The following is a 27,485-nucleotide window of genomic DNA, read 5'->3' as shown; positions in this document are numbered from 1 at the left end:
AAGTGTGCGCCGCCATGCCCAGCTTATTTTTGTATTTTTAGTAGAGACAAGGTTTCACCATATTGGCCAGGCTGGTCTCGAACTCCTGACCTCAAGTGATCTCACCCCCTTGGCCTCCCAAAGTGCTGGGATTACAGGCATGAGCCACCACGCCTGGTCCCAGCTCATTACATTTTATAGCCAGTGTTGAGAAACTGGAGGCCAAATCACTGGTTTTTAAAAATCTGGGATGCATCAGCATTTGCTGCTCTTGAGGCTTCAGACACCCAGGCCCACCCAGATCTTCTGAGTTAGAATTTCCTTGGTGTGTGGTGGGGCTGGACATGAGTACGTTTAACAAGCTCCCAAGGTGATGCTGACATACCAAAGCTTCAGAACTGGAATCAATGGCCTCTGAGGTCTCTTTCAGCTCTGATTCTGAGGTCCTCCCAGTCAATGATTTCTTTCTTTCTCTCCACGCTGGAGCTGCCCGTTGGTGGTAAGCAGAGACGTCATCAGCTTGCAAGCTGAGCTTCAGTGTCCCCTGAGAATGCAGCCAGCTGGCAACGGTAGAGGAAAGTGGTGAACTCATTTGACTTTTCTTTATCAGCTGTACCATGTACATGATGTGCAAGAGGACTGGGGCTCTGTGTCAAGGCCAGCTGGGATGCTGAGGTTTTGTGTTAGGACCAAGGGCAAGTCTGATGGCTGTTCTGGTTTGCCCTGCTTCATGCCATGGCCTAAAGGTGAGTATTAGCCACAGGGTGCTACTGCCTGGACCCCACCCCCAAACCCACTGGAATGAGAAAGATGAGCCTTAGATTAGATGCAAATTTACCCACCCAACTTTGTCTCTCTGGGTCAGCCCCCACGGTAGGCTAGATGGATACCTTGACTGCCAGGAGAACCCAGGGCTGGGCTAAGGAACTGAGAGGCAGGCTCAGAGCAGGCTCCATGCTGAGCTCTGACTCTGCCCTGTCTTAGAGAGGCCATACTGGTATCTCCTTTCCTCCATGCGGCATGTGGCGATTTAATGGCAGTGAAATTTATTGTGGGTAATGGAGCGTCAAGCTCCTTATTGCTAATGGATGATTTCAAATGTGGAGAAAGATTTATTAAATAAGTCAAGCATATGCCTCCAAGAGAATATTACTGTGAGTGAAAACAATTATATAGTTAAACAAGGAGGAAAGAAAATTTAAATGCATCTTTAAAGGTTTCTTTAAATCAGTTTAACTGTGTGATTTTTAAAAGATGGGGGGGATTAGTTTCAGCAAATTACTTATTAAAAAAATTTTTTTTTGACTCAACAGGAAACTAACAGCCCTACTTGGCTTCCTTTTAAAGAAGTTACTTATTGGTATTTGAAAAAGAAGGGAAAAAAAAGTTAAGGAAGTGACTTTGGTAGCCTCTTGCGGTTCTCATGTTCTGATTTCTTTGGTGTACACTGAGCTCTCCCTGGGGCAGAAGGAAGGGGTCAGGGAAGCAGCAGCCAGAACTGTCATTCAGAGAGGAGGATCAGGGATGTCTAACTGGTATTAGACAATGCATCAGAGCTTTAGAGTTGGAAGCAACTTTGGAGGACATTTGGACAATTTCCTTGTGCATGCGGAGAAGCTAAGGTCCAGAGAAGAAAAGGAACTTTTCCAAGAATCCACAGGTGGTAGATTGCAAAGCTAGAAGCCAGGCTTTGCCATTGCTCTCTCCATGCAATGGGAATAATATTTATCTCAGGGGTGTCTGGAGGATATAAGAACCTAGGGAAAGTACTTTGGAAAGTATACATGCTTAGTTCCTGGAAGGGATTGTATGTAGAAGAGATTGGCTGCGAGCCTCCATGGTGGGTCCATTTTTGTGAGGGGCCTTCCCCCTATCCTTGGCCACTTCAGCAGTTCTGCAGCCAGGACTGTGGCTGGCTGAGGTTCCACACCTCTCTCCCGCACCAAGCTGAGGAGAGGCACAGGCAGCCACAAGCCTCTGACATTTTCCTTGAGATGGTGACAGCTGGTAAGACTTTTGACTAAAGGAATAAAGAGCAAGCAGGCAAAAAAAAGTTACTGTGTTAAAAGTGGTTTAAAAATGTTCTTCACCATCTGTTTGGCCACCCTGGTTTTTTGGGGCATGTGTAGGGGGAGAGACCTCTCCTCTCCCGCTCCTGAGCTTCACCTCGGTCAGGACCGACTATGAGAAGCTTTAGCGTGTCTCCAGGCTTTGTTTTCCATTTTCCTCAAATTTTCTTTCTGCTGCCTTCCCTTTGCTTCCAATGCATGCAATGCATTCTGCTTCTGGAAAAGTTATTTTCTTAATTGCTAATGAAATACCGAACCTGCAAAGCCTGGCACATTTGGATCAACAGGCAGGTGTTTGATTTTGGCCTTTGCTATCTGAGCTTGGTTCTGTTGGAAGGGAAATAGAACCTAAAAAGCAGGTATTGAAAGACACATTTTGAATGTCCTCACTCACATGTGGGAGCTAAAAATTAAAACAATTGAACTCATGGAGATAGAGAGTAGAATGATGGTTACCAGAGGCTGGCTTGGGCAGCGGGGAGCAGGGGAAAAGTGGGGATGATTAATGGGTGCAAAAATATAGTTAAATAGAATGAATTTGTGCTAGTATTTGATAGCACAACAGGCTGACTATAGTCAACAGTAATTTATTGTGTATTTAGAAATAACTAAAATAGTGGAATTGGAATGTTTCTAACACAAATAACTGACAGATGCTTGAGGTGATGGACACCCCAATTACCCCGATGTGATTATTACACATTGCGTGCCTACATCAAAACATTACATGTACCCCATAAATATATACATCTACTATGTCCCATAATAATTAAGAATTTTAAAATAAAATACCATTTGAAGCAAAATAATAAGAAAAACTAAAAAGCAAAACAAACAAAACCAGGTATTTAAGCTCTACTCCACCTAGTAACATCACAACCAGGTTTCCCTTCACATCCTAACTCTTTATACCACTTCTGCTGACATTTCTTATGAAATTTGCCTGAGGTATTTTTCAGGTTTTTTTTTCCTTTTGTGAATAGGGTCATAAAATATATATTCTACATAGTCATTGCTGTGGTACATTAAAATTATTAATTTTGTGTGTTGATTTTATATCTAGTCAACTTGTTTAACTCACATTTGGTTCTTGTGGATTTTTCTGACAGATGGTTATACTGACTGCATATACTAACAGTTTTGTCTCTTTCTCTTCAGAGTTACATTTCTTATTTTCTTCTCTTGTCTTTACGTAAGCTTTCAGAGCAATATTGAAAAGTAATAGTGATTATAGACATCTTTACCTGGTTTCTGATTTTAAAAGGATTGTTTCTGATATTTTACCATAACTACGATGTACACTGTGGGTCTATTGTATAAAAACATTACAAGTTGAATTTGTTGTTTTAATCAGAAATTGTTGTTAAATTACATTAAATTTTAGCATCAGTTGACAGTATCTATTGAGATGATTTTACTCTAGTGAGGAACATCAATTGCTTTCTAATGTTGGACTATTCTTCCGTTTTTTGCTCCTAATACCTTATTAGTTTTGACTTTCTAATACTTTAGATAGAATTTTTGTATCTTTGCTCATAAACAATATTGGCTTGTTCCTTTCATCCATGTTTTCCTTGCCCACTTTTGGTATTTGGTTATGGTAGCCACATGGAACGAGTTAGAGTAGTTTTTATCTTCTTCCATGCCCTGCATAGTATATCACATGGGATTATGGATTTTTTGAATGTTTGCTAGAACTTGACCATAAACTTTCTTACTCTGGTGCACTTTAGTGGGGGTAGATCTTAAATTACTATTTTAATTTTTATATGATTATTGGTCTTCCATGATTTTCTTCTTGAACCAATTGTTGACATTTATTATTTATTGTTTATTGTGATTTATTGTTTCCCAGGAAATTATTCATTCATTAGATTTTGAAATGTTTTGGTCTAAATTCTCTTTAATTTGAAATGTGCTTTGTATACTATGTCTCTATTACTTCTTAATGTTGTTATTTTTGTGACCATTACTCACTCTATTCTCACACTCGGTCTTGCCACAGGCTGTTCTAATTTATTGATAGTTTCAAAGAAACAGCTTTTAGTTTTATTGATCTATACTATTGATTTTTTTGTGTTCTAGTTAATTTTTGCATTTTATCTTTATTAATATCTTCCTCTAATTTCACTGAGCTTATTTTGTTTTTCTCTTTCTAACTTCTTGAACTGAAGAGCTTATTGACTTTGCTTTCATTTTTTCCTCATTTCTAAGAACTTTATTTGAGACTATAAATTTTCATGAATTAGGTATATATCTCAGGTTTTTGATATATGGCCTCTCCTTGTTATTCATTTCTAAATAGTAATACTTTTTTCTTTGCTAACCTAAGAGTTATTTTCAAAGTATTTAGCATGCTCAGGTGCATAGAATTATTTGGCCATTTTTTGTTATTAATTTCTAATTTTATTACATTTTGTCCCAGATGGTAACCTGTCTGACTTCTTTCTAATGAAGTTGTTGAGGTTTCCTTTGTGGCCTACTACGTGAGTAATTTTTTTTGAATGCTCCATGTGTGACTGAAAATAATGAAGTCTCCTCTTCTTAACATCTATGTCTATTAGATCACACTGTAAAATTTTAATATGTATGTTCTTCAGACTCTCTCTAACTGTCCCTGATCCACAGCTATTTGATTGGGTGATTTCTGAGAGATGAATAATAAGGTCTCTTACCATGATTGTAGATTAACACTTTCTCTGTGTATATCCTTCAGTTTTTGCTTTCTGTATTGAAGCTAAGTTATTGGGTGCATAAAAGTTCATGGCTGAGATATCGTCTCTATTGATGTTATATTTTATCAACATGGATACTCCATCCCCCTACTTTCTTTCATTGTTCTTTGCCTTGAGCTCTATTTTGTTTGATATTATTACAACTTGGCTTTCTTTTTCTTAGAATTCGCACAACATAGCTATTTCCAGTATTCTATTTTTAACCTCTCTGTCTCATTTTGCTTTAGGTGTATCTTACAAGCAGCATGTATCTGGATGTTAGTTTCTAAATCTAAGATTTTCCATTTAAATGACTTCTCATTTCATTTTTTCTTCTATAATAGTTGGAAATTATTCAACCTATTTTTTATTGCTAATGCATAGATTGATGCATTGATGCATTTTAAGAGACATATTGATATTTAGAGTCAATCACTTCCTAAATCCTCCCAGCAAAAAATATTAAAAACTTTTATTTCTTTACTGCTTACTTTCTCCTATTACTCTCTTTCTTCCCCAGCCTCCAGAACTGTGAGGACATAAATTTCCATTGTTTAAACTCCCCAGTCTGTGGTATTTTGCTATGGCAGCCAAAGTTGATTAATCTGTTTTGTTCGTTGGAAGAATTTTCTCTTCTTCCTTGTAAATGTTTCCAAAAAAAGCTTAAGTGTGGGTCTTTTTTTTTTTTTTTTTTTTTTTTTTTGAGATGGAGTCTCGCTGTCTCCCAGGCTGGAGTGTAGTTTGTGGCGCAATCCTGGCTCACTGCAAGCTCCACCTCCCAGGTTCATGCCATTCTCCTGCCTCAGCCTCCTGAGTAGCTGGGACTACAGGCGCCCACCACCACGCCTGGCTAATTTTTTGTATTTTTAGTAGAGATGGGGTTTTACCGTGTTAGCCAGGATGGTCTCGATCTCCTGTCCTCGTGATCCATCTGCCTTGGCCTTCCAAAGTGCTGGGATTACAGGCTTGAGCCACCCGTGCCCGGCCAAGTGTGGGTCTTTTTATTTACTTACTCTGCAGTTGATAGATCCATTCAATCTAAAGACTTCTATCTTTTTTTTCAATCTAAAGACTTCCATCGTTTTTTGGGTTTTTTTTTCTTTGCCTCAATTATTTCTTCTCCTTCATGCCTCTTATTTCCAATTTCTGGAATTCCTGTTAAATGGATTTTCATGCTGTTGGAATTATTTTCCATTTCTCTTTCATTTTTTCTTAACTTCCATCTGTGTTTCCTTGTGTGTTCTGTTTCTGGGAAAAGTCCTTGGTTGAATCTTCCAGTTCAGTCATTTTCTCTTAGTTTTTATCTATTCTGATATTCAGTTCATATATTGATTTTTTAAAATTTCAGTACTCAAGTTTGTAATTTCCAAGACCTTCATCTGATAATTTTGTATGTGTGCTACATTCCCTTGCATGAGAATACTAATTAGACTTTTATAAAGTATTTTCTTATTGATTCTATTCTTTCCATGGGGATGTAGTTCTTCAGTTTGTTAAATTTAGTTCTTCATGTCCAATTTAGTCTTCAGATGGTTAAATTTAGGACTTTTCTTTCACGAGGTTGATTTTCTTCAGAACCCCAACCAATCATCCTGTCAATCATCCTTGGGTGCTCCTGCTGCCTTGGACATTGGTGCTCCTCCATTTCTTGTAGCAGGTCTCTCCTTTGTGCTATTGGGATGTGGTTTCTTTCTTCAGTCTTCTCCATCTGCCTTTCCCCTTTCAGGCATTCCTAACTTTTTCATCTACTGTGGGTACCCCTTCTTTTTTTCCTACACTGTTATGGATTTTTATTATTATATGTTGTTATATTCTTACTTATATGCTGTATTGGTTATATTATATTTTATTTATATTATTGTTATCATCAATGTTTATTATTATTATTATTTCTTTTTTTCCAGGAGTTTAGGATAAGAAGGGGAATGTGGAGATTGTGCCTGGTTTACTATTTTTATCCAGCCTCCTCAACTTTGTATGTATTGAGGATTGATGTCTTAAACTACACTTCCAAAGATGAGGGTGAGTTGTTTGACAAGAATTTACCAGGGTTGGGTCTGCCCCTTGAGTCTGGCCAACAGCTGACTCACAGTCCATGGTTCCATTGGTGGCATACTTCCACCGGGAATTCCCTTTGTGTTTATTTTCATTGTCAAGATGTTCTTATCCTGCCTCACCTCTGGTTGGAAAGCTTGGGAACTCAGATGGATTTGCCATTTGCTGACCAGCCTTGAATTATTAGTGCAGGAGAAGAGATGGACATAAAGAAATCAGCCTGCTTCTTTGTGTCTGGCATGAGGGGATGTGGTGGGCATTGTGATGTGCCACCTAGATCAGCTTCTAGGAATGAAGGACATATTTCCCCAACTGCTGGCAGTGGTACAGCTTGCAGCTATCTCCCCTTTGGGGATTGCCTCAGATAAAAGAATGGTTTTGCCCCTGGCGGCCAGCAGCCCACTTTCTCAGCCTTCTGCCCCAACTCAGGCAGTTCCGAAGGATCACCTCATCTTCAGAACTCCCCATGCTTCTCTGGCACTGCATTGCAGCTCACTGTCTCCCTCTTCCCAGTCTGCCTCCTCCCCTTCATTACGCTGGCAGTGACCCCAAGATCAACACCCTAATAAACCTCATGCCTGCTAAACTTCATCTCAGGGTCTGCTTCCTGTGGATCCCAACCTATGATTGAGCATTTACTGAGAATTATTACGTGTATCAGAGCAAAGCACTATTGTGGCTATATTTGGCTACAGAAACCTTTAAACCTGCCCTGGGATTGGGGAAAGGAGCTGCATATGGCCAGCCAGAAAGTATGGGGAGGCAACGGCCCCTTACACATGTATTTTGATTTGCCCACCCAAATCCGCTCCTTCTGCAACTGTCCCCAACTCAGAAAATGGCAACTACATCTATTCAGTCAGTCAAGACAAAAATCTTGGAGTCATTTCTGACCTCAAACTCTAACACCACATTAATCTAATTCATCAAGGAATCTGCTTAGCTTTACCATCCAAATTGATCCTAAATTTGACCCTTTCTCACCACCTGGAATGCCAACCCCTAGGTCCCAGCCACCATCACCATCCCTAGCTTGGATTACAGCAATTGTCACTGTGAAAGGAAAATAAAATCTTGGGACCCTCAACTCAGCATGTCAAGGGAAAAGTTAAGCTTGGAAACCAAATCATGCAAAAAACTTGCCTTTTCTTTTGTTCATAAATAGATAGCTACAAGATAGAAGGCCACAAATTTCCCCAGGGGGCCTCCCTCACCCTGACAATGTAAATTAACAGCTTATCTTTATGGTACAGGACAAGAGGAGACTAGAAATTTTACCCCCCTTCCACCGCCTACCCCGAGATGAATTTATATTCGACTTCTTCCTGTACTGTGTTTACTTTATCTTATGTAAAGTGCAGATTAACTGAGCGTGAGACGGATGCATAATTGACTGTTCCTCTGCCCCCTCCTTTTCACATGAAACATGTGGATTCAGTGAGTGCTAATCAAAGCCTCAGAAAAATGTGACCATATCCTCCCTCTTTTTTTTCCCTCCTTTCTCGGCCTGCCCATCTTTTCCCTGTTAAATATTGAAGCCCTTAAAATCATCCTTGGAAAAAGTATGAGCCACAGATCCTATTGTGGCTTGTGTCTCTTTATCCCAGGCACGTCCTCAACCTGGGCAAAATCAACCTCTAAATTGATCGACATCACTTCTTCTTTTACATTTTCTTTTTCTTTTTTCTTTTTTTTTGGTTTATACCACCTAATCAGGCTCTCAGGTTCCAAACTCTTAGCTCCTACAATCTATTCTCAACACAGCAGTGAAAAGGATCTTTTAAAACCAAAGTCCATTCGTGTGTCTCCTTGGCTCAGCGCTCTCCAATATTTTCCATCCCATTTTAATCAAAACTCCCAGCCCTTCCATGGCCCCCAAGGCTGTTTATGACCTGGCCCTCCCCTGCTGTCCTGCTGACCTTTCCTACCACTATGTCCCCTTTGCTCACTCCAGTCCATGGCAAGCTTGTTCCTGACCTACTTGAAGTTCTCCCTGCTGAAAATGCCCAGATATCTTCATGGCTCCTCCCCTCACTTCCTTCAACTTCCATTTCAAATGTGATCTTATCTGAGACCTTCCTTCACTACCCAATCAATGACACTAACTTCCTCTCCCTACAACCCCAACTTTGGCACTAACCATCTCCCTCGCCATGTTTATTTTTTCTCATAACACTTATCACCATGCAATGGATTTCCTTGTTTATTTAGTCTATTCCTCCCCCAAGCAGAATGGAAGCTTTATGAGAAGTGTTTTGTTCACTTTATTCCTAACATCCAGAACAGTACTTAGCACAGAGTGAGTGCTAAATAAATGTTTGTCAATAAATGAAATTTTAATTCCCTGGACTGTTTAGGAGCATCTCAGATGGGAAAATTGCCTAAGGACAGATAATATTCTTCATTCTGCTGCTTACTTGCCTAATGACCTTCCATAAGCCCCTTTTCGTATCAGGCTATCAGGAAGCTGAGGGGGTGGGACAAGATGATCACTCAGTGTCTCTTCTCCATCTGATCTTTTGCTGAAATTGTGATTTGTTTGATGCAAACAACCTGGTGTGACATTACTGCAACTGTTTTTCTATTGCTTAAGTGAATTCTAAATGAAGCCCAGCTCTAACTTCCCCGGGGTCCCTCCCAGGTGTCATCCCACCTGCAGGGAGTGGCCCCAAGTACTTGGCTCTCTTTCCATTTTAACCTTCCCATGCCCCTCCTGTGTTCTGTGACTTGCTTTGGCCTCACATTGGGCAGATTGTATGTCATTGCCCTTTGCTCTGGTCAATGGGATGTGAGCAGATGTGAAGTCAGCAGCAGCTTGAAATAGACTTGAGTGGTGAGCTTGTCCTCTTGGGCTTCTTCCATCACAATAAGAGAAACACGTCTTGGCTAACCTGGTGGTCCAAGAACTGAGGGATGCCTGGAGTACCTGGATCAAACCAAAGGCCAGAGCCAAACTCAGCTGAGCCCAAGTGAGATCAGCAGAGCTGCCCCCGTTAACCCACATATGTATGAGTGAGAATAACTGAATGCTGTAAGCACTGAGTACTGGGGTGCTTTGTTATGTGGCATTCTTATGGCAATAGCTGACTGATACACCAATCTTCCAAAACTCAACCCAAGGTACACACTCTTCCAGAAAACATTCCCTAAGCCCAAGGGCATGGCCTAACAGTGAGAATTTCAGGTATGTTTCAGGTTAGTGAGGTCAGCTGCTCATAGGAACTGAGAGACTGCAACAGAAAGGAGGAAAAATGGGCAGCCAATATTGCTCAGTTTTGCTGTTTGATGACTCTGCAAACAGGAAGAACAAGGATCGACAGGATTTATAGTACAAACTGATAGAATGGAGCTGGGGCTGGCTTTGTGCCTTGCAGCTTCTTTCCCATTTTTTTTTCACAAGGCTCCCCACCAGGACACAGGAGCTGGTAACCCTGCCCTTGGCCTGAAATGTGGTTTGACCTACAGCTTCTGGGTATATCAGACTGGGGCAGCAGGGCACTGTTATTCTGACAGTGAACATTACACCTTCCAAATGGACATTGCAGAAATTTAGAATTGAGTCTTGTCAAAACATCCTGGTTTGCATATTAGGAAAGTCAAGGGAGAAGTTACTTTATCTTCTTTCTAACCCGATGAAAAGATTTTTAAGGGACTTTACTGCAATCATGTTTCTATTGCTTAAGTGAATTCCGAATGCTACTGTAAATTCCATTCATTATTTAAATAGCTTTACCTCCCTTAAGAGCCTAAGTGCCTTACAGGAAGGAAGGAGCTATCAAATCCATGCAGGGTGGGGAATTGCTCAGGAGGGTCAAATCCTGGGGCATAGGGAGAGGGACTGTAGTGTTCATGATGGGTCTGTAGGGAGGCCGATCAAGAGCCTGACTGAGTGATAGTAGGAGCTGGGAGAATTGCTAAGATCATCTGGGCCTAGGATGCTTTCCTATCTTTCCTGGTCCTAAGAGTTTTCTGAATCGCTTGTTAAAAATAGATCTGCAGACCCTTCCCCTGGAGATTCTATTTTAGCAGACCTGACGTGGAGTCCAGAATTCCATACTTTCAAGAAAGACCGCAGATGATTTTGACAACTAGACATGTGTGGAAAATACTGATCTATCAAGCTGCCTTGTTTATAGGTGAATAAATTGAGTCCCAAGGAGGGGTTAGTGCTAGAGGTTAGCGTTAGTCCCCAGTTAGTGCTAGAGCTAAATCCAGAACAGGATCACTGAGACCCGAATGGCAGATTTAGGATGCCCAATTTGCAGCTGTGCTGCTGGGACTGGCCGTATAGTCTGCAGGTCTGCTGGTCCCTTGGTACCTTTGTTTAGCTGCTCACTTTCTGTAAGAACAGCTGAAGGCAGCGCTCCTGGAGTCAGACAGACCAGGTTCAAATTCTAACTTTGCTTCTGATTCACTGAACAACCTTGTGCAAATTGCTTAACTTTTCCAAGCCATTAATATGGGCATTAAATCAGATAATGTACCTACCCCTAATAGGTGCTCAATAAATGATTATTGCTTATGAAGTGCTAGACCCCATTCCAAGCTATTAATTTGGGCATTAAATCAGATAATGTACCTACCCCTAATAGGTGCTCAATAAATGATTATTGCTTATGAAGTGCTAGACCCCATTCCAAGCCAAAGAACTGGCCAGTATGAGTTCATTTAACAATAAAACAAGCCTATTATTAACCCCATTTTAAAATGAAGAAAGTTGAAGAAGAGAAAACTTGAGTGACCGGTTCAAATCACGCATATAGCAAGTGAGAAGCAGAGGCGGATTTGAACTCATGTAGTTTGTAGTCCCCCTTCTTTCCCTTGAGTATAGGGTCTGGGTCCCACTTACTCCAGCATGGGCCCTGGTGTAGGCCTTTGCACACAAGTAGATATCATTAAGTGCCTGATGAATGAGATTGAGATTTAAAGGCAGGACGAGAAATTCACTTCAAGTATGGCTGAGGGTGGGGTATCTGGAGAGGGCAGTAGGAGGCCCTAAGTAGAGAAGCTGTACCCAGGGAAGATGGGGCAGAGCCTGCAGGACCAATCCCTGGGAGTTAAGGACATTTTTCAGGCCGAACAGTTAGCGTTGAAATGCGCAAGAGCCTGGAAGTTTTTTTGCATTGTCGCCTGCAGTAAGGAAAAATCTAGACTGAACTGGCTGCTTGGATCAGAAGTGATGTAACGGGCTGGCTTTGGCCTAGTTTTCCTAAAGCAGACGGCCCCCTGGCTCTCCCACACCCTTTTTTCCAGAATTGGCAAGTGACAGCTACCGCCATCTAGTGGTCTGAGTGGCACTGCACAGGGATGGGGAAAAAAGGTTGGACCGCACTGCAGGGACTAGAAGATGCCCCTGGCTTCCCTCTCCCCAAAAATGAGAGCCCCCAATGGTGGTAGAGAGTTTATTCTGTTCAAAGCATGTTCTTACCTTTTACTTCATTAGATCTTCTCAACAATCCAGGAGGTCACCAGGGGCCATTAACTCCATTTTATGGGTGAGGCAAAAAGTCCCTGGAGGAGAGGGGTCTTGTTCAGAGTCGTACTGTCAGCTATTGATGGAACCAGGACTGGGACCCAAGTCTTCACAATACAATTTCTTAGCCCATAAGTAATACAGAGAGGTTGTCAGATCCCTTGAAGTCTCCTTGGACAGGAAATGGAAGATGATTTATCCTGGAGGTCTTGGTCACTTCTCTGCATGGAGGTGAGTCCCCTTCACCTCAATGACTTGCGATTTTTCCCTGGAAAGAGAATCCTCAGGTGGGATACCTGGGCTGATAATGCTCATATGGGAGGTTTCAGAAGAAGATGAATACTGCCCCTTCAGCTCTAGACCCTCTTACTGGATACTCAGTTAAAGCTTATCTGGTCCAGGCTCCTTGTATGAAAGATGGGGAAACTGAGTCTCAGAGAGGGAGAATGACTAGGCTGACATCACACTGTGGTTAAAGCCCTTCCTTTCCGGCCTGTCTTTCTGTTCTGTGTACTCTGGTATAATAGCTGGTGCCTGGAGCCTGCACTGTTTCAAACAGATATAACTGTTTTCAGCCCAGAGTGAAAATTGGACTCTAATGTCTCCCAAATTATACCACAAAGCTATGCAAAGGAAAAGAGAAGCTACTGGATATGTATGTTTGTTTTAGCATATTTTTAGCATTTGTAACATCAGTAATTCACAAACTTTTCAATGAAATCTTAGGCAGAATTTTGGTATGCAAAAGAGATTAATGTGGTGAGAATTGAGGAAGCTGACATTTACTGTGCCCCTGGGGATCTCTGTAATGCCAGAGAGAAAGGGATAACACGTTGAAAAACAAGGCATTGCATAAGGAGCACTGGCTGTGGAGTCCTAACACCTGGGCTTTAGTCCCTGCTCTGGCAAAAGCTTGCTCTGTGTGTGACCTTGGGAGTCGCTCCCTCATTCTGATCTCTCGCAGTTTACTCATTCGTACAATAATCCTGATCTTCCTACTGCCTGGGGTTGATGAGAAGATTACATGGAGGGAATAGGGGAATGGATGTGAAAATGGTTTGTAGAAAATAAAGTGCTACATTTATAAATGGTTTCTTTTTTAACTAAATTGAGGTAAAATTTATATACAATAGAAATGCGCAACTCTAAAATGTTCAATTTCATGAGTTTGGAAAATTGTAATCAGCTGTGAAACCATTATCCAAAATAAGCTACAAAGTATTTACATCCCTCCAGGAAGTTCTCTTGGGCTCATTTGTAGCCAACCTTCCAAGCCCGCAGGCAACCACTGTTCTGATTCCTATCACCTTAGCTTAGTTTTGTGTGTTCTAGAACTTGACATAGACAAAATCGCCCAGTATGTGCTATTATGTGCCTGGCTTCCTTTGTCCACTGTAATGTTTTTGAGATTCATCCAGGTTGTTTTTTCCTTTACTGCTGCAGAATAGTATTTTATTGTATGGACATACCACTATTTGTTTATCTATTTTACTATGGAAAACATTTGAGTTATTTCCAATTTTGGATATTATGATTAAGACTGCAATGAGCATCCTCTTCCACATTTTAAGTGCACATATGAACCCATTTCTGTTGAAATAGGAGTGGAATGTTGAAGCATACAATAGACACATGAGTAAATTTAGTAGAAGCTGCTGAATAGATATCCAAATGGCTGTACCATTTTACATTCCCAACAGTGACACACCAGAGTTCCAGATGGTTCATAGGTTCCACATTTTGTATTGTTAGAATAGCCATTCTGGTGAGCATAAAACGGTGTCTCACTGTAGTTAAAATTTGCATTGATGTTAAATACCATTTCTTATTAGCTATATGTGTATCTTCCCCTGTGAAGTATCTTTTAAGTTATTTGCCCAGTTTAAAAAAGGTAGCTTGCCATTTTATTGTTGATTTGTAGGAATTCTTTATGTGTTATACACAAGTCATTTGTCAGATATAAATGTGGCAAAAACCTCTCCCCATTTGTGTTTTTTACTATTCATTTTCTTAATGACGTCTTTTCATAAGTAGGGATTTTAAAATTTAAGTTCAAGTTACCTATTGTTTTCATTATGCTTCGTGATTTTAATGTCTGAAGAAATCTTTGTCTAATCTAAGAATGCAAAAGTATTCTTTTGTGTTTTATTCTAGAAGCTTTATGGTTTTCACTTTTATGCTTAGGTCTATGATCTGTCTTAATTTATGTTTGTGTATGGAATGAAGATAGAGTTGAAGTTCATTCATTTCCATATGGATTGTTTCAGCGCTTCTGTTAAAAACATTTTCTTTTCGCCAGTGAACTGACTTAACGCCTTGGAAGTTTATTTTTCAATTAAAAGGTCTAAAAAGAAATTTTATTTTAAAAGTATAAGATAGTACCATTGACTTTTGGAAGGATGTACTGTTCTATGACTTTTAACTCAGGTATAGGTTTGTGCAGCCACTGCTAGAATCAGAATATAGAACGATTTGATCACCCCAAGAAACTCCCTTATGCTATCTATGTGCCTGTTCTTTTGCTGACACCACACTATCTGGACTACTGAAGCTTTATAGGAAATCATACAATCAGGTAGTGTAAGTGCTCCAACTTTGTAATTCCTTTTTCAAAATTGTTTTGGCTATTCTAGTTCTTTTCCATGTCCATATAAATTCGAAAGTCCACTTGTCAATATTTAAAAAAAAATCCTCCTGGGATTTTTATTGGAATTGTGTTAAATATGTAGATCATTTTGGGAAGAACTGACATTGTAACTATGCTGAGTTTTGCAATCCATGAACATGGTGTATCTTTCCATTTATTGAGGTCTTCTTTAACCTCTTTCATAAGCATTTCTTATAGTTTTCAGCATACAGGTCTTATATATGTATTTCACTTTTTGGAGGGGTATTGTGAATGACATTGTTTTAAAATTTTGTTTTCCAATTATACATTGCTAATATATAGCAATATGATTGATTTTGTGTGTTGCCTTGCAATCTTGCTAAACTCAGGTATTAGTTTTAGAAGCTTTTATAGATTCCTTGGGATTTTCTGTATAGAACGCTATGTCATCTACAAATAGAAGGTTTTATTTCTTCTTTTCTAGTCTGTATGCCTTTTGATTCTTTTCTCTGCTTATTGCAAATAGCTAGGACTTCCTGTACAATATTAAAAAGGAGCAGTGAGAATTCATCCATGCCTTTCTCCCAATCTGATAAGAAAAACATTCATAATTTGCCATTAAGTAGAATGTTAGCTGTAGGCTTTTTACATTTGTTCTTTGTCAGATTGAGGATGTTTTCTTCTATTTCAAGTTTATGGAGAGGTTTTTTTTTTATCATGAATTGTTGCATTTTGTCAAATGCATTTTCTGGATTACGTATGATGATGTATTTTGCCTTTTAAAATTTTAATATAGTAGATTACATTGATTGATTTTTAAATATTGGATCAGCCTTATATTCCTGCTATAAATTCCACTTGGTTGTGTATGTGTTTTTTTAATTTGGTTGCTATTATTTTGCTGAGAAATTTTGCTTCTGTATTTATGAAGGATATTAGTCTGCAGTTTTCTATTTGTCGCTATTTTTGTATGTTTTTGGTATACAGGCTTCATGAAATGAGTTGGGTATATGTTTCCTTCACTTCTATTTTCTGAAAGAAATTGTGTAGAATTATTATTTTTTCTTCTTTAAATATTTTGTAGAATTTCTAGTAAAGGTATCAGGCCTGGAAATGACTTTTTTGAAAGGTTTTAAAAGATAGATTCAATTTTTAAAATAAGTATAGGACTATTTAGGTTATTCATTTCATCTTGGATGAGTTTTGTTTTTTGTGGTTTTCCAAGAATTGTTCAATTTTATCTAAGTTTTTGAATTTATATGTATTATGTTTGTAGTATTACCTTATTATTTTTAATGGCCACAGGACCTGTAGTGATATCTTCTCTTTCATTCCTGATATTAATCATTTGTATCTTATCTCTTCTTTCTCTGTCAGTCTTGCTAGACACATTTTGATTTTTCCAATTATTGAAAAAACACCTTTGACTTGATTAACTTTCTCCATAGCCTTTCAGGTTCAATTTCATTGATTCTGCATTACTTTTACTGCTTTCTTTCTCCTGGTTACTTTGGTTTTGTTTTACTCTTCTTTTTCTAGTTTCTTGTGGTGGAAGCCTAGATGGCTGATTTGAGATCTTTATTTTTCTTTTTTTCAGTTTTGTTTTTCTTTCTTTTTTAACCAATACTATAAATTTTCATCTAAGCACTATTTTAGAAGCACTTCACAAATTTTGATAGGCTGTATTTTTATTTTCATTCAGTTCAAATATTTTCTCATATTTCTTGGGGCTTCTTTTTTGACCTATGAATTATTTAGAAGTGTGTTGTTTAATATGTTAGCATTTAGATATTTTCCTCTTGTTTTTCTCTTACTGATTTCCAGTTTAATTCCATTATAGTTTGAGAACATACTTTGTATAATTTCCATTATTTTAAATTGGTTAAAGCTTGTTTTATGATCCAGGATCATGCTCTATCTTGGTGGATATTTAATATGCACTTGAAAAAAATTGAATGTTGCTTTTGTTGGATGAGGGTATTCCATAAATGTCAGTAAGGTCTTATTTGTTGATGGTGTTTTTCAGTTCATTCCTATCTAAGAGTAGGAGTTCCCTTTCCTACTTCTTGACCCAGAACTATACAGTGTCTCCTAGAGCTCTCTATTTATGTTAATGACCACATCAGGGTGTCAGGGGGCCATGTCATCTTCTGGTCCTAGAATAACAGAGGGGAAAAAATAATTCATAACTTCAATAGAACTTTGAGTTCTGGTCTTACTTCCCTATCTACCTGTTAGTATTTACTATACAGAGTCCTCAGAACAGTGCACATATTTAGTCCAGGTTTTAAAGTTGATTTTTCTTTGGGGAACTACCCCTTTGTACTCTTAGTTCATGAGATGTGAGTGGGGTGGACCTCAACCCTACTTCCATGTGCTCTGATCTGATCAGTTAATGTATTCTATCCCAAAGCTGCAATGATTGGTTGAGGACTGAGCATGTGATTTAAATTGTACAAGGGTCATTTCTGATACTTTTGTGGGAACTAGTAGGAAACAGAATTTCTCTTCACTGGGGTTATTTACCTATGGGGATGAAATCTTGTTACAGCTTGAGAAGAGTTTGCCTGAGAGTAAAAGGGCACATTGAGGAAAGTGAGCTAGAAAAGAGAAAGACAAACTCCTAATCAGCTTGCCAAAGCACATAGATCCAGCCATTCCTGAAACTAGTAATCATCTCCCACATTCTAGACTTTTCAGGTACATGAACAACACAAAACAAAACAAATTAACAACAACCCCCCACCCCACTTCCTCTGCATTAGCCAGTATCAGTTGGTGTTTCTGCCACTTAATATTAAAAGTCTTAATACATATCTACATATATATATGTGTATATATATATATGTGTGTGTATATATATATATGTGTGTATATATATATATATATATATATATATATATATTTTTTTTTTTTTTTTTTTTTTTTTTTTTTTGAGATGGAGTCTCACTCTCTCCCCCAGGCTGGAGTGCAGTGGCATGGTCTTGGCTCACTGCAAGCTCTGCCCCCGGGTTCACACCATTCTCCTGCCTCAGCCTTCCAAGTAGCTGGGACTATAGGCACCCGCCACCATACCCAGATAATTTTTTGTATTTTTAGTAGAGACGGGGTTTCACTGTGTTAGCCAGGATGGTCTTGATCTCCTGACCTTGTGATCCACCCACCTTGGCCTCCCAACATATCTACATATCTTAAGTTTCCTTTCATCTTCCTTAAGTTCCTTAGTCAGAATCTAGGGAACCATTGCCCCCTTAAGCCCTAGGGCAGCATCCCCTTCCTTGAGAGAGCAATTAGCTGATTTCATGGTTCTCCAAACAGAAATGGTTGTCCTTAGAGAATCTCAGCATGAAAAATGGGCAGAGAAGCTGGGTCTCAGTATGGAGCCAGAGAGCATGTTTGCAAGTCTGCATCTGCTGGCTACATTAATGTGCAAATCAGGCTGTGGGCCAGAGTTTATTTTTAATAATTAGAAGCCCATCTTACTTTGGAAATGTGCTGCAGCTTCCTGTGACGAAAGGGAAAAGATGGTTCATCCCTTCTTTCCCTCGATCCATGGAATCTACATTTCTGGAAACTTAGAGATGACATAGCTTATTCACTCGTGGAACTCAGTATTCGAGGAGGAGAAAATTGTTGTGGGTAGAAAAAAAGATGATTTTTAAAAATGGGAAAGGAAAAGTATCTATTTCTCTATAGTATTTGGCAAATTTTGCTAAAATTTCTCAGGATCCCAAACTAGGGGGTAGATAACATTTTTGGCACATAGATGAGGCAGGTGCCTGGCATGGTTGTCAAGAGCATGGAATCTTACAACCACAAGACAGTAAGCTTGTAGCCCAATATTTTGCCAATGGAGAGAAAGAGGACCCTTTTGGGAAAGGGCCCTGTCCAAGGTCAGGCTGATAATTAACATAAAGAGAAGAATTATGAAGAAGGTGCGTGGGCTCCTTCTGTGTCCCAAAGGCTTCCACCATAGCCCACACCATCCAGACTCACAACTTTCCTACATTTCCAGAAGTGCCTCTTTGCAGGCGTCCCAGTTGTGAGTATGATATGCCCACTTGGCTTGGCCATCCGCCACCTGTTTGTCACTCAGCCAACTGGCAGTCCCCATCCCCATGTTTTTTTTGGTTTTGTTTTGGCATAGCTGAATTTCACCAGGCAAAGTGTGAGGTGTAGAACGCAACCAGAAGCATGCCACTTGCTGCGGGCAATGGAATGTGAGTGGAAGTCACATGTCACTTCAGGATGGAGGCCTTTAGGTAAGCCTGCCTCACTGCTTTATCATCAACAAGGGTTGGTGCTGAGAAGGCCTTGAAGCACAATCTGTCCCTGCCCTCCAGGAGAGTTCATGGCCCAGCGAGGGAGGCAGATATGGAAGCAGTCATCATGCAAGGTGATTGGGGTTGGGCCAATGCTATGTCTCAGCAGGAGGGGCCAACAAAGGGTGGAGACAGCTCTGCTGGGGGAAGGGGTTAGAGAAGGCTTTACTAAAATGCACAGATCTTGAGGTGGGTCTTGAAGGACATGTTAAGTTCTCCAGGTAGGCAAAGCACATACGGAAATCCCAGGTGAGAGAACTACCCTCTCTGCTTTCTTTTCTTGTGGTATTTGTCTTACTCTGCTCTTCGTGATAGTATCATGTATCTGCCTGGTCTCTTGTAGCCCATTTGCTGTTGTACTTAACATCTGTGTGCCTCAGTTTCCTCATCTGTCAAGGGAGTATAATTATAATGCTCCCTCACCAGAGTTGTTTTCAGGATTAAATTGTTTAAGGTGTATGGATATATATGAAGCATATGAGATGATGTCTTACACATGGTAAACACTTGGTAAATGCTACAGTACAATACTTTATATTTAATAGATACTCAAAAAATGTTTTCCTCATTGAAGTGCTCCTCAACTTCGTGTGACCCCTGTCACCTAAAATAAAAACTATTTTGGCTGGTGGAAGCTACTAGCAGCCTAATGTCTACTCTCAAAAAGCATCCCTCCACTGAATTAGCTAATCCTCTGATCTGTATTGGTATCACTCAGTGATTAGCAGGGATTAGAGGAGCACCTACTACTAAAAGTCAGGGAGATACAAAAAAAGATTGGACTAAGAACTGGCCCTCAGACTTAGTGGCCAGCTGGAGAAACCCGGTGTATGCTTGGGTCCAACAGAAAAGATACACCATAGGATGATCCCACTTTGCAGCATGTAGATGCTTTGATATAAAGAGCATCATGGCCAGAAGGGTGTGGGAGGAGAAGTATCTGACTGGGCAGAGATCTTAGAGGATCCTCAAATGGATTTTCCAGTAAGTGCTCCATACGAACACACACAGGAGGAGAAGACGTGGGATTGCAGAGCTGCAAAGATGGCATTGTGCAAGGCAAACCCCAGGTCTCTTTATGAATTCTTTCTCTTCCATTAATTCTTTGAGGCATGGAAAGTAGATTTCCAAGTATCATGGGAAGTTAGGCATGCTGCTGAGGATGGTCCAGAAATAACAGCATGGCTACTGGAGTGTTGGGAAGATTGGAGGTGACAGAGGATCCAAGGAGGAGTGAGAGTTGAAGCACCACATCAGAGAATGCCGAACTGAAGTCAGGAGGAAGAAAGGCCTGAGAACATGGGCTCATGGGCTCCCTACTTTGGGGACTGTTAAAGACCCATCTACAGATTGGAATATTGGCAGCAATGGAAATTTCAGCTTTTGTGTGCCATCTCTTTGACTCAATGTTTTTATATGTTGCTTCCTGTTTATTAACTTCTATTTCTTATAACTTTGTGATGAGACAGTTGGAAGGCATGCCTGTCTCTCATACTGTATACATTGCCAGAAGGACTAGGTGGAGTGTGTATGGAAGAAAGAATATGCCAAAAAAAAAAAGCATTAGTGAATGAAACATCACCAGGAGAGTTCATAGAAGAATGCACTGGCAAAGAAGTTACACACAGACATCTACCCAGAGAGAATCTGAGGTTGACTATAAATAAAGTTTAAAAATGGTATAGAACTCAGAGTGAAAAGGAGTGTGGTGGAAGGCTTGTAGGAAGAGGTGGTTCTTTACTGGGCCTTGAAGGATGGTTGGACTTTGGATATATGGAAGGAGAAGAAATCATATTCTAAGATGGATGTGATGATTAATTTTACGTGTCAACTTGACTGGGCCATGGGGTGCCCAGATATTTGGCCAAATATTATTCTGGCTGTGTCAGTGAGGCTGTTTTTAGATGAGATTAACACTTGAATCAATAGCCTGAGTAAAGCAGATTGCCCTTCCTAATGTGGGTGGCCCTCATCCAATCAGTTGAAAGCTGAAATAGAACAGAAAGGCTGACTCTCCCACAGATAAGAAGAAACTCTTTCTGCCTGTTTTGAGCTGGGATATCTTTTTTTATTCCACCTTTTGGACTCAAATTGAAACATTAGACCAGGCACAGTGAGTGGCTCATGCCTGTAATCCCAGCACATTGGGAGGCCAAGGCGGGTGGATCACCTAAGGTTGGGAGTTCAACAGCAGCCTGGCCAACACTGTGAAACTCCATCTCTACTAAAAATACAAAAATTAGCCAAGCGTGGTGGTGCACACCTGTAATCCCAGCTACTCAGGTGCCTGAGGCACAAGAATGGCTTGAACTCAGGAGGTGGAGGTTGCAGTGAGCTGAGATCACACCACTGTACTCTAGCCTGAGTGACAGAGTGAGACTCTGTCTCAAAAAAACAAAACAAAACAAAACAAAAAAACCCAAAACAAAAAACACGGGTTCTTCTTGGGTCTCTAGGCTGCCAACTTTCAAACTAAAACTTACACCAGTAACTCTCCCGTCTCAGGCCCTGCGCTTAGACTGGAGCTACACATGGGCTCTCTGGGGCCCCCAGATTGCTGACTGCAGACCTTGGGACTTCACAGCTTCCATAGTCACACAAGGCAGTATCTTATAATTTCTCTCTCTTCCTCTCTTGACACACATGCATGCATGTGCACATGCACACGCGCACACACACACACACACACACCCCACACAATTTCTTGGTTTCTATTGGTTCTATTTCTCTGGATAATCCTGACTAATAGAATGAAGAATATAACTTTTGAGGCAAAGTCATAGTAAATTAACCCTTACTGAGAATCTACTATGGGTCAAGCACTTTATGCATAATCTCATTTAATCCCTATCCCCATGCAGTGGGAAACATTTCTAAGTCCAGTCCGTGGATCAATATTGTACTGATATTAAATTAATAGATATTTACTGAGCACCTACTATGGTCCAGAGACTTCTCCATTCCACGTGATGACACATTTCACATATTTATTTATTTATTTAATCAACAAATACTAACTGAATGTCTACTGAATGCTTGGAATGCATCAGTGAACAAAACAATAATATACATTCTCTTGAAATTTACATTTTAGTGAGGAAAGGCAGAACAATAATGCTAGCTATAACAAATAATTAATTATACAATACATTAGAAGGTGATAAATACTCTAAAAGTGTTGATAGAGTAAAGGGGATTAAACACATTGAGGTTGGGGTTGGATTGCAATTTTAAATAGGACAGTCAAGGAAACCCCACTATAAAGGTAAAATTTGAGCAAAGTATTGAGAAGGAGATGTATGAGTGAGCAAATCAGAGAGCAGGAACAACAAGTGCAAGGGCCCTGAGACAAGAACCCTTGGTACATTGGAGGAACAGCAAGAAGGCTGGTGTGGGTGGATGAGAATGAATAAGAGGAGATGATAGGAGGAGGTGGGGTCAAGGGTTACGAAAGAGAGGTCATAGTATGTAGGCCTTTGTAGACCATTGCAAAGAATGTGGTTTTAGTCTTTGCTGTGTATTTTGCAGATGATGACCTATTCTGTTTTACATTATAACAGAATCACTCTGGCTGCTGTGTTTCAGTGGTCCAGGTGAGAGATGGTGGTGGCTGGAACCAGGGTAGTAGCAGTGGAGGTAAAATAAGTGAACAGATTCTAGATATGTGTATATATGTATATACATATGTGTCATGTATATGTATATACATATAGTAACAGCTTTAGTGAGATAATTCACCCACTTAAAGTATACAATTCAGGTAAGACTCTAAGGCTTTTGAACTGAGAAACCAGAAACATGGAATTTTCACCAACTAAGATGGAGGAAGAGAGCAGATTCATTGGAAGGGAAGGGCAATAGTTTAGTTTGGGATATGTTAAATCTACACCCAATTGCTAATGAGGGAAATCTGGGAATTATCCCTTACTCTTCCCATTTCTTTATCACTACTATCCCAAATCCCTACATCTGATCTATCAACAAGTCAGATCACTTCTACCTCGAAAGGGTATCTTGAGTAAGTCCATTTCCATCAGAAAGTGCTTATGAGATATCCCATGTCCTCCCCGCCATTTCCCATTCTCCTTTGCAGTTAGAATGGAGTCATGTGACTGGTTCTGGCCAATGAGCTGTGAAGAGAAGTGACACATGACACTTCCTGGTCAAAACAGTTAAGAACCCATGACGTGCCTCCTTCATCTCTCTCTTTCCCTGATAGGCCTTGAAGGCCATGTATTCCAAATGGTAGAGCTGCAAGATGAAGGACTTCCCAATTCACACTGGACTCTCATGTGGGCAAAAAATAAACTCTGTATGTATTGAGTGTTACTTAACTACTGAGATATCAGATTTATCTTCACACAATTTTTCTTCTCCCTCCTGCTACCCTAGTCTGAACTTCCATCATCATTGCCAAATTTTGTGGAATAGTCACCTAATTAATGTCCCTACTCCTACCTTTGTATCCCCCAAATTCATTCTTTACGCAGCAGCCAGATCAGAGTTCTTCAATGGCTTCCTGTTGCACTTATCACTGAGTTGCTGTGTAATCTGGCTCCTGCCTCCCTCTTGAACCTCATCTCATCAGCCCCTAGCTCACTGAGCTGCTTACTCTGCCTCAGACTCAACAAGCTCTTTCTTTTTGCAGGGTCTTTGCCTGTGCATTTCCTCTGCCTGGTTGGTCTCATGGCTGGCTCCTTCCTATCCTTCAGGTCTCAGGTTAGATCTCACCCTTCTCAGAGAGGACTCCCTGATGACTCTATCCAGAGTTGCCCACCCTCCCCCCCCCATTATTTTCTGTCATCACACACTATTTATTTTAAACACTAATAACAATCTATCATTTAATGAATGAACAAATGAAGTAAGCAACTAACTAACTAACATATTTACTCTTTGTCTCATCCACTGACAGTAAACTCCACAAGAACAGAGACCTGTATTCATCATTGTACCCCCAGTGTCTTAGTCTGTTTTCTGTTGCTACAACTGAATACCTGAGACTGGGCAATTTATAAAGAAAACAAATTTATTTCTTTCAGTTTTGGAGGTTGGGAAGTTCAAAATCAAGGGGTTGCATCTGGTGAGGGCCTTCTTGCTGGTGGAGACTCTCTGCAGAGTCCTGAGGTGGCACAGGGCATCACATGGATAGCAATTGCATGTGTGACTGGTTCTGGCCAATGAGCTGTGAAGAGAAGTGACACATGGCACTTCCTGGTCAAAACAAAACTGGCTTTTATAATAGACACACTCTTGTGATAACCAACCCAGTCCTCTGATAACCCATCAATCCATTTATCCATTAATCCTTGAGTGAATTAATCCATTTATGAAGGCATAGCCCTCATGACCCAATGAGGGTCTTAAAAGTCCCACCTCTTCATAATGCGACATTGGTGATTGGGTTTCAACATGAGTTTCAGAGGGGCCAAACATTAACTCCATGGCAGCCCATGTCTGATATGCATTTAACATGTGGTAGATGCTTCATAAGCATCACATGATTCAGCATCAGAGACACAGCATGCCCAAGGCAAGGTCCCTGTCCTCAGAAATCTCATGGTTGAGTAGTGAGAGGCCAGGAGTCAGGGTGCAGTGGGTTTGCAACCCAATCTAACCTAATTTGGGGGAAGGTTGGAAGAGCTTCCTGGATAAGGGGATTCCTGAGGCAGGCCCCAAAGGACAGAGGGCTATTAGTTGGCCTGATAGATTAAGAGAAGGGCCTTTTAGAAAGGAGAAGTGGCATGCATAAAGGATCAGAGGGGTGAGAATAGGGTTAAGGCCAGTCCAGAATGACTGCAATGTGGGATATGAGTTGCAATAGCAAGAGATAGGGTGGAGACAGAGCAAGGGCCAGATCATCTAAGGCCTGACATGTCAGGCTAAGAAGATTGCACTTGACCTTGCATCAGTAGGCTGTCATTGACTGAGTCCACGTGTGTTGTGGCAGAACAAACTTAGGCTAATTCCTTTTGGGCATCATGGTGAGGTGGAGGACCTTTGGTTAAAGGATCTTGCCTCTGTTCCTCATTGGCTGCATAGATTTCTCTTCTCCATGGCTCCCAACTCCATTCTGTCTAATACATGTTGTGTAGAAAATAGACTGCAGGAAGGGAATGAGAAGGAAGGATATTTACAGTAGAGAAGTTTGGACATTGGAAGTAATTCCTGGGATGAAGAAAGAATAGCAGAGGGTGGAGTGGAAAAAGCACTGGACTAGGAGTCAAGAACCCTGATTCTGTCACTAATTACTGTATGGCCTTGGAAAACTCATTTTATCTACCTGGGCCTTGATTTCTCCATATGGAAAATGGGGTTTTGGGCTTAATTGGTAATCCACCAAAAATGTCCAACCTTACAGAATCATACTGGTGGTGGGATTTCAGGCACCATGATCTTGAAGTAGGATGTAATTTTTTTTGTTTTTTTTGTCTATGACTTAAGACATTCCTATAAATGGCTCTTATGCATCTCCTCCATTCCCCTTCTCAAGGGAGAAGGAATACTATGTGTCTATGTGTCAGTATTTTGATAGGCATTGGAGATAAAACATACAGGCCCAATCTCTCTGTTTTCATGAAGCCTACAGTTTAGCACTGGAAAACTGATTTTTAAAAAATCACACAAACAATGTAAAATTACAACCGTGATTAGAACCACAGAAGTAACACATAGCATGAAGAGAACCATTCAAAAGGGAGTCAGAAAAGCCTGGGACAGTTCTGAAGACTGGGAAGTCCAAAATCGAGGGGCTGCATCTGGCAAGGGCCTTCTTGCTGGTGGGGACTCTCTGCAGAGTCCCAAGGTGGCACAAGGCATCACATGGCTAAGGGGTGCAAAAACCAGAACCAAACTGGCTTTTATAATAGACCCTCTCTTATGATAACTCCTTGTAGTAGTGACACTTGGGGGAGATCTGAAGGATAAGTCAGAGATAACTGGGCAGGGAGTGGAAGGTATCAAGTACCAGGCAGAGGGAACAGCATATTCGGAGAGACAGGGCAAAGGCTGGTGTGGCTGGAGCAGGGAGAGAAGCCTGGCAAAGGATGATGCTGGACAGGGGACTATTTAAAATATTGCATATGCAGAGCCTAGGGGATCCAGTTGGTCAGACATTGGTCCTTTGGTTGCTGAATTGTGGGGGGTTCTGACAGGTTGCTGGGGGAGGAGGGAGGATGTCAGGGAACATTTGGTGTAGGTGTGCTTGGGATAAGGAAGTATTTTCAATGTTCTAACAATCTTTATGGCTACGTGGGTGTGTTCCATCTGACCATTAGTGATTGGGACAAAGAGGTGGGCAGGGATCCAATCAACCACGAAGACCTAGAGGACATAGAGTTTGCCCTGACAATATTGGGGAGCCACTGCTGGGCCAAGGAAGGTGGTGAGGGGGCCACAATTGGGTTTTACAGAACTGAGATTAAGCTGAGGAGAGCAAGGTTCTCACTTCAGCCTCAGAACTGAAGTGGGGGCCAAAAATCAGTACTTAAGATAGATTTCTGCAATATTTAAAAATATTTTAAAAAATTTCAAAGTAATGCAAAAAACATTCCATCGTGAGCAAAACATCAACATTTTCAATAAAGACAGCATTTAATCCTGCACTTTCATGATTCGACCTCACTTTCTTCAATACAATCTATGCCCTGTCGGATGCTGTCTTCATGTAAATTTTTGCTAGTTTGTTCACCATGGACATATTTTGCACTCATTTAAAAATATTGCATGAAAATAGTATTTATCTTGATTGCTGAGTATTTAGGGTGTCTCCATAAATGTTGGGCCTGGCCCTAATTTTGAAGCACTCTGATTTTGAAGTGATGACTTGGATCTGTGGATGTGGAGGCGCAGAGGGGCCAGTGTGGATGTGGGGAGTCATGGGGGTGGGGTGCACATGAGAGATGCAGCCAGATTGTCTGAATGCGACAGGAGGGGATGTACGGGCAGGCATGCTGCTCGCCCCCTCTTCTGGGGATTCTGAGGAGGGGGTATGAGGGGGATGCTGTCAGCAGCCCATCTGCACTATGTGACTGCCAGCCAGGCTTGCGAGCCAAGCGCCCACCTCCCTTGGCGAGGCTGTTGGGAAGCCATTTTACCAGGAGAGTGGGAAGCATCTCATGGTCTGACTCGGCCATGCCTTGGGGCTACTCTGATGTGCTCCCTTGGTAAACCCTAATCTGTTCCCTTCTATTGCCCACGTGACCCGCTCACCTCCAGGTGAGCCCTGGTTCCAGCTTGTGGAGTCTTAGAGCCCACTGGCCATGT

At 40.8% G+C, this 27,485-nt stretch overlaps 1 protein-coding gene across 1 annotated transcript in view, besides 3 other annotated features; it reads left to right on the top strand.

Annotated features, from left to right (window-relative positions):
• The first annotated feature begins 537 nt into the window (after nucleotides 1-537).
• Nucleotides 538-27,485, top strand: part of CES5A (carboxylesterase 5A) — a 109,878-nt gene continuing 82,930 nt past the window's right edge. Inside the window, exons 1-2 of the mRNA NM_001190158.1 lie at nucleotides 538-725; nucleotides 6,667-6,784. Of these exons, the coding sequence (NP_001177087.1) occupies nucleotides 684-725; nucleotides 6,667-6,784 (160 nt within the window). The 5' untranslated portion in view covers nucleotides 538-683. The remainder of the gene's footprint in view (nucleotides 726-6,666; nucleotides 6,785-27,485) is intronic.
• Nucleotides 2,417-2,586: an enhancer, noted in NCBI's record as "experimental_43482 CRE fragment used in MPRA reporter constructs". NCBI's record gives its function as "activates a minimal promoter by MPRAs in K562 erythroleukemia cells, with activity observed for both the introgressed and non-introgressed 16:55987980 variant alleles {active_cell/tissue: K562}" and the evidence as "EXISTENCE:reporter gene assay evidence [ECO:0000049][PMID:34662402]".
• Nucleotides 14,420-14,589: an enhancer, noted in NCBI's record as "experimental_43479 CRE fragment used in MPRA reporter constructs". NCBI's record gives its function as "activates a minimal promoter by MPRAs in K562 erythroleukemia cells, with activity observed for both the introgressed and non-introgressed 16:55975977 variant alleles {active_cell/tissue: K562}" and the evidence as "EXISTENCE:reporter gene assay evidence [ECO:0000049][PMID:34662402]".
• Nucleotides 17,970-18,471: an enhancer, noted in NCBI's record as "NANOG hESC enhancer chr16:55972010-55972511 (GRCh37/hg19 assembly coordinates)". NCBI's record gives its function as "activates a minimal SCP1, AML or CMV promoter by ChIP-STARR-seq in naive H9 embryonic stem cells {active_cell/tissue: H9 hESC(naive)}" and the evidence as "EXISTENCE:reporter gene assay evidence [ECO:0000049][PMID:30033119]".

This window comes from Homo sapiens, chromosome 16 (genome assembly GCF_000001405.40).
Source record: "Homo sapiens chromosome 16, GRCh38.p14 Primary Assembly".
NCBI classification, from domain to species: Eukaryota; Metazoa; Chordata; class Mammalia; order Primates; family Hominidae; genus Homo; species Homo sapiens.
The sequence above is the reverse complement of the archived record's forward strand: the minus strand, read 5'-3'. Positions and strand labels throughout refer to the sequence as shown.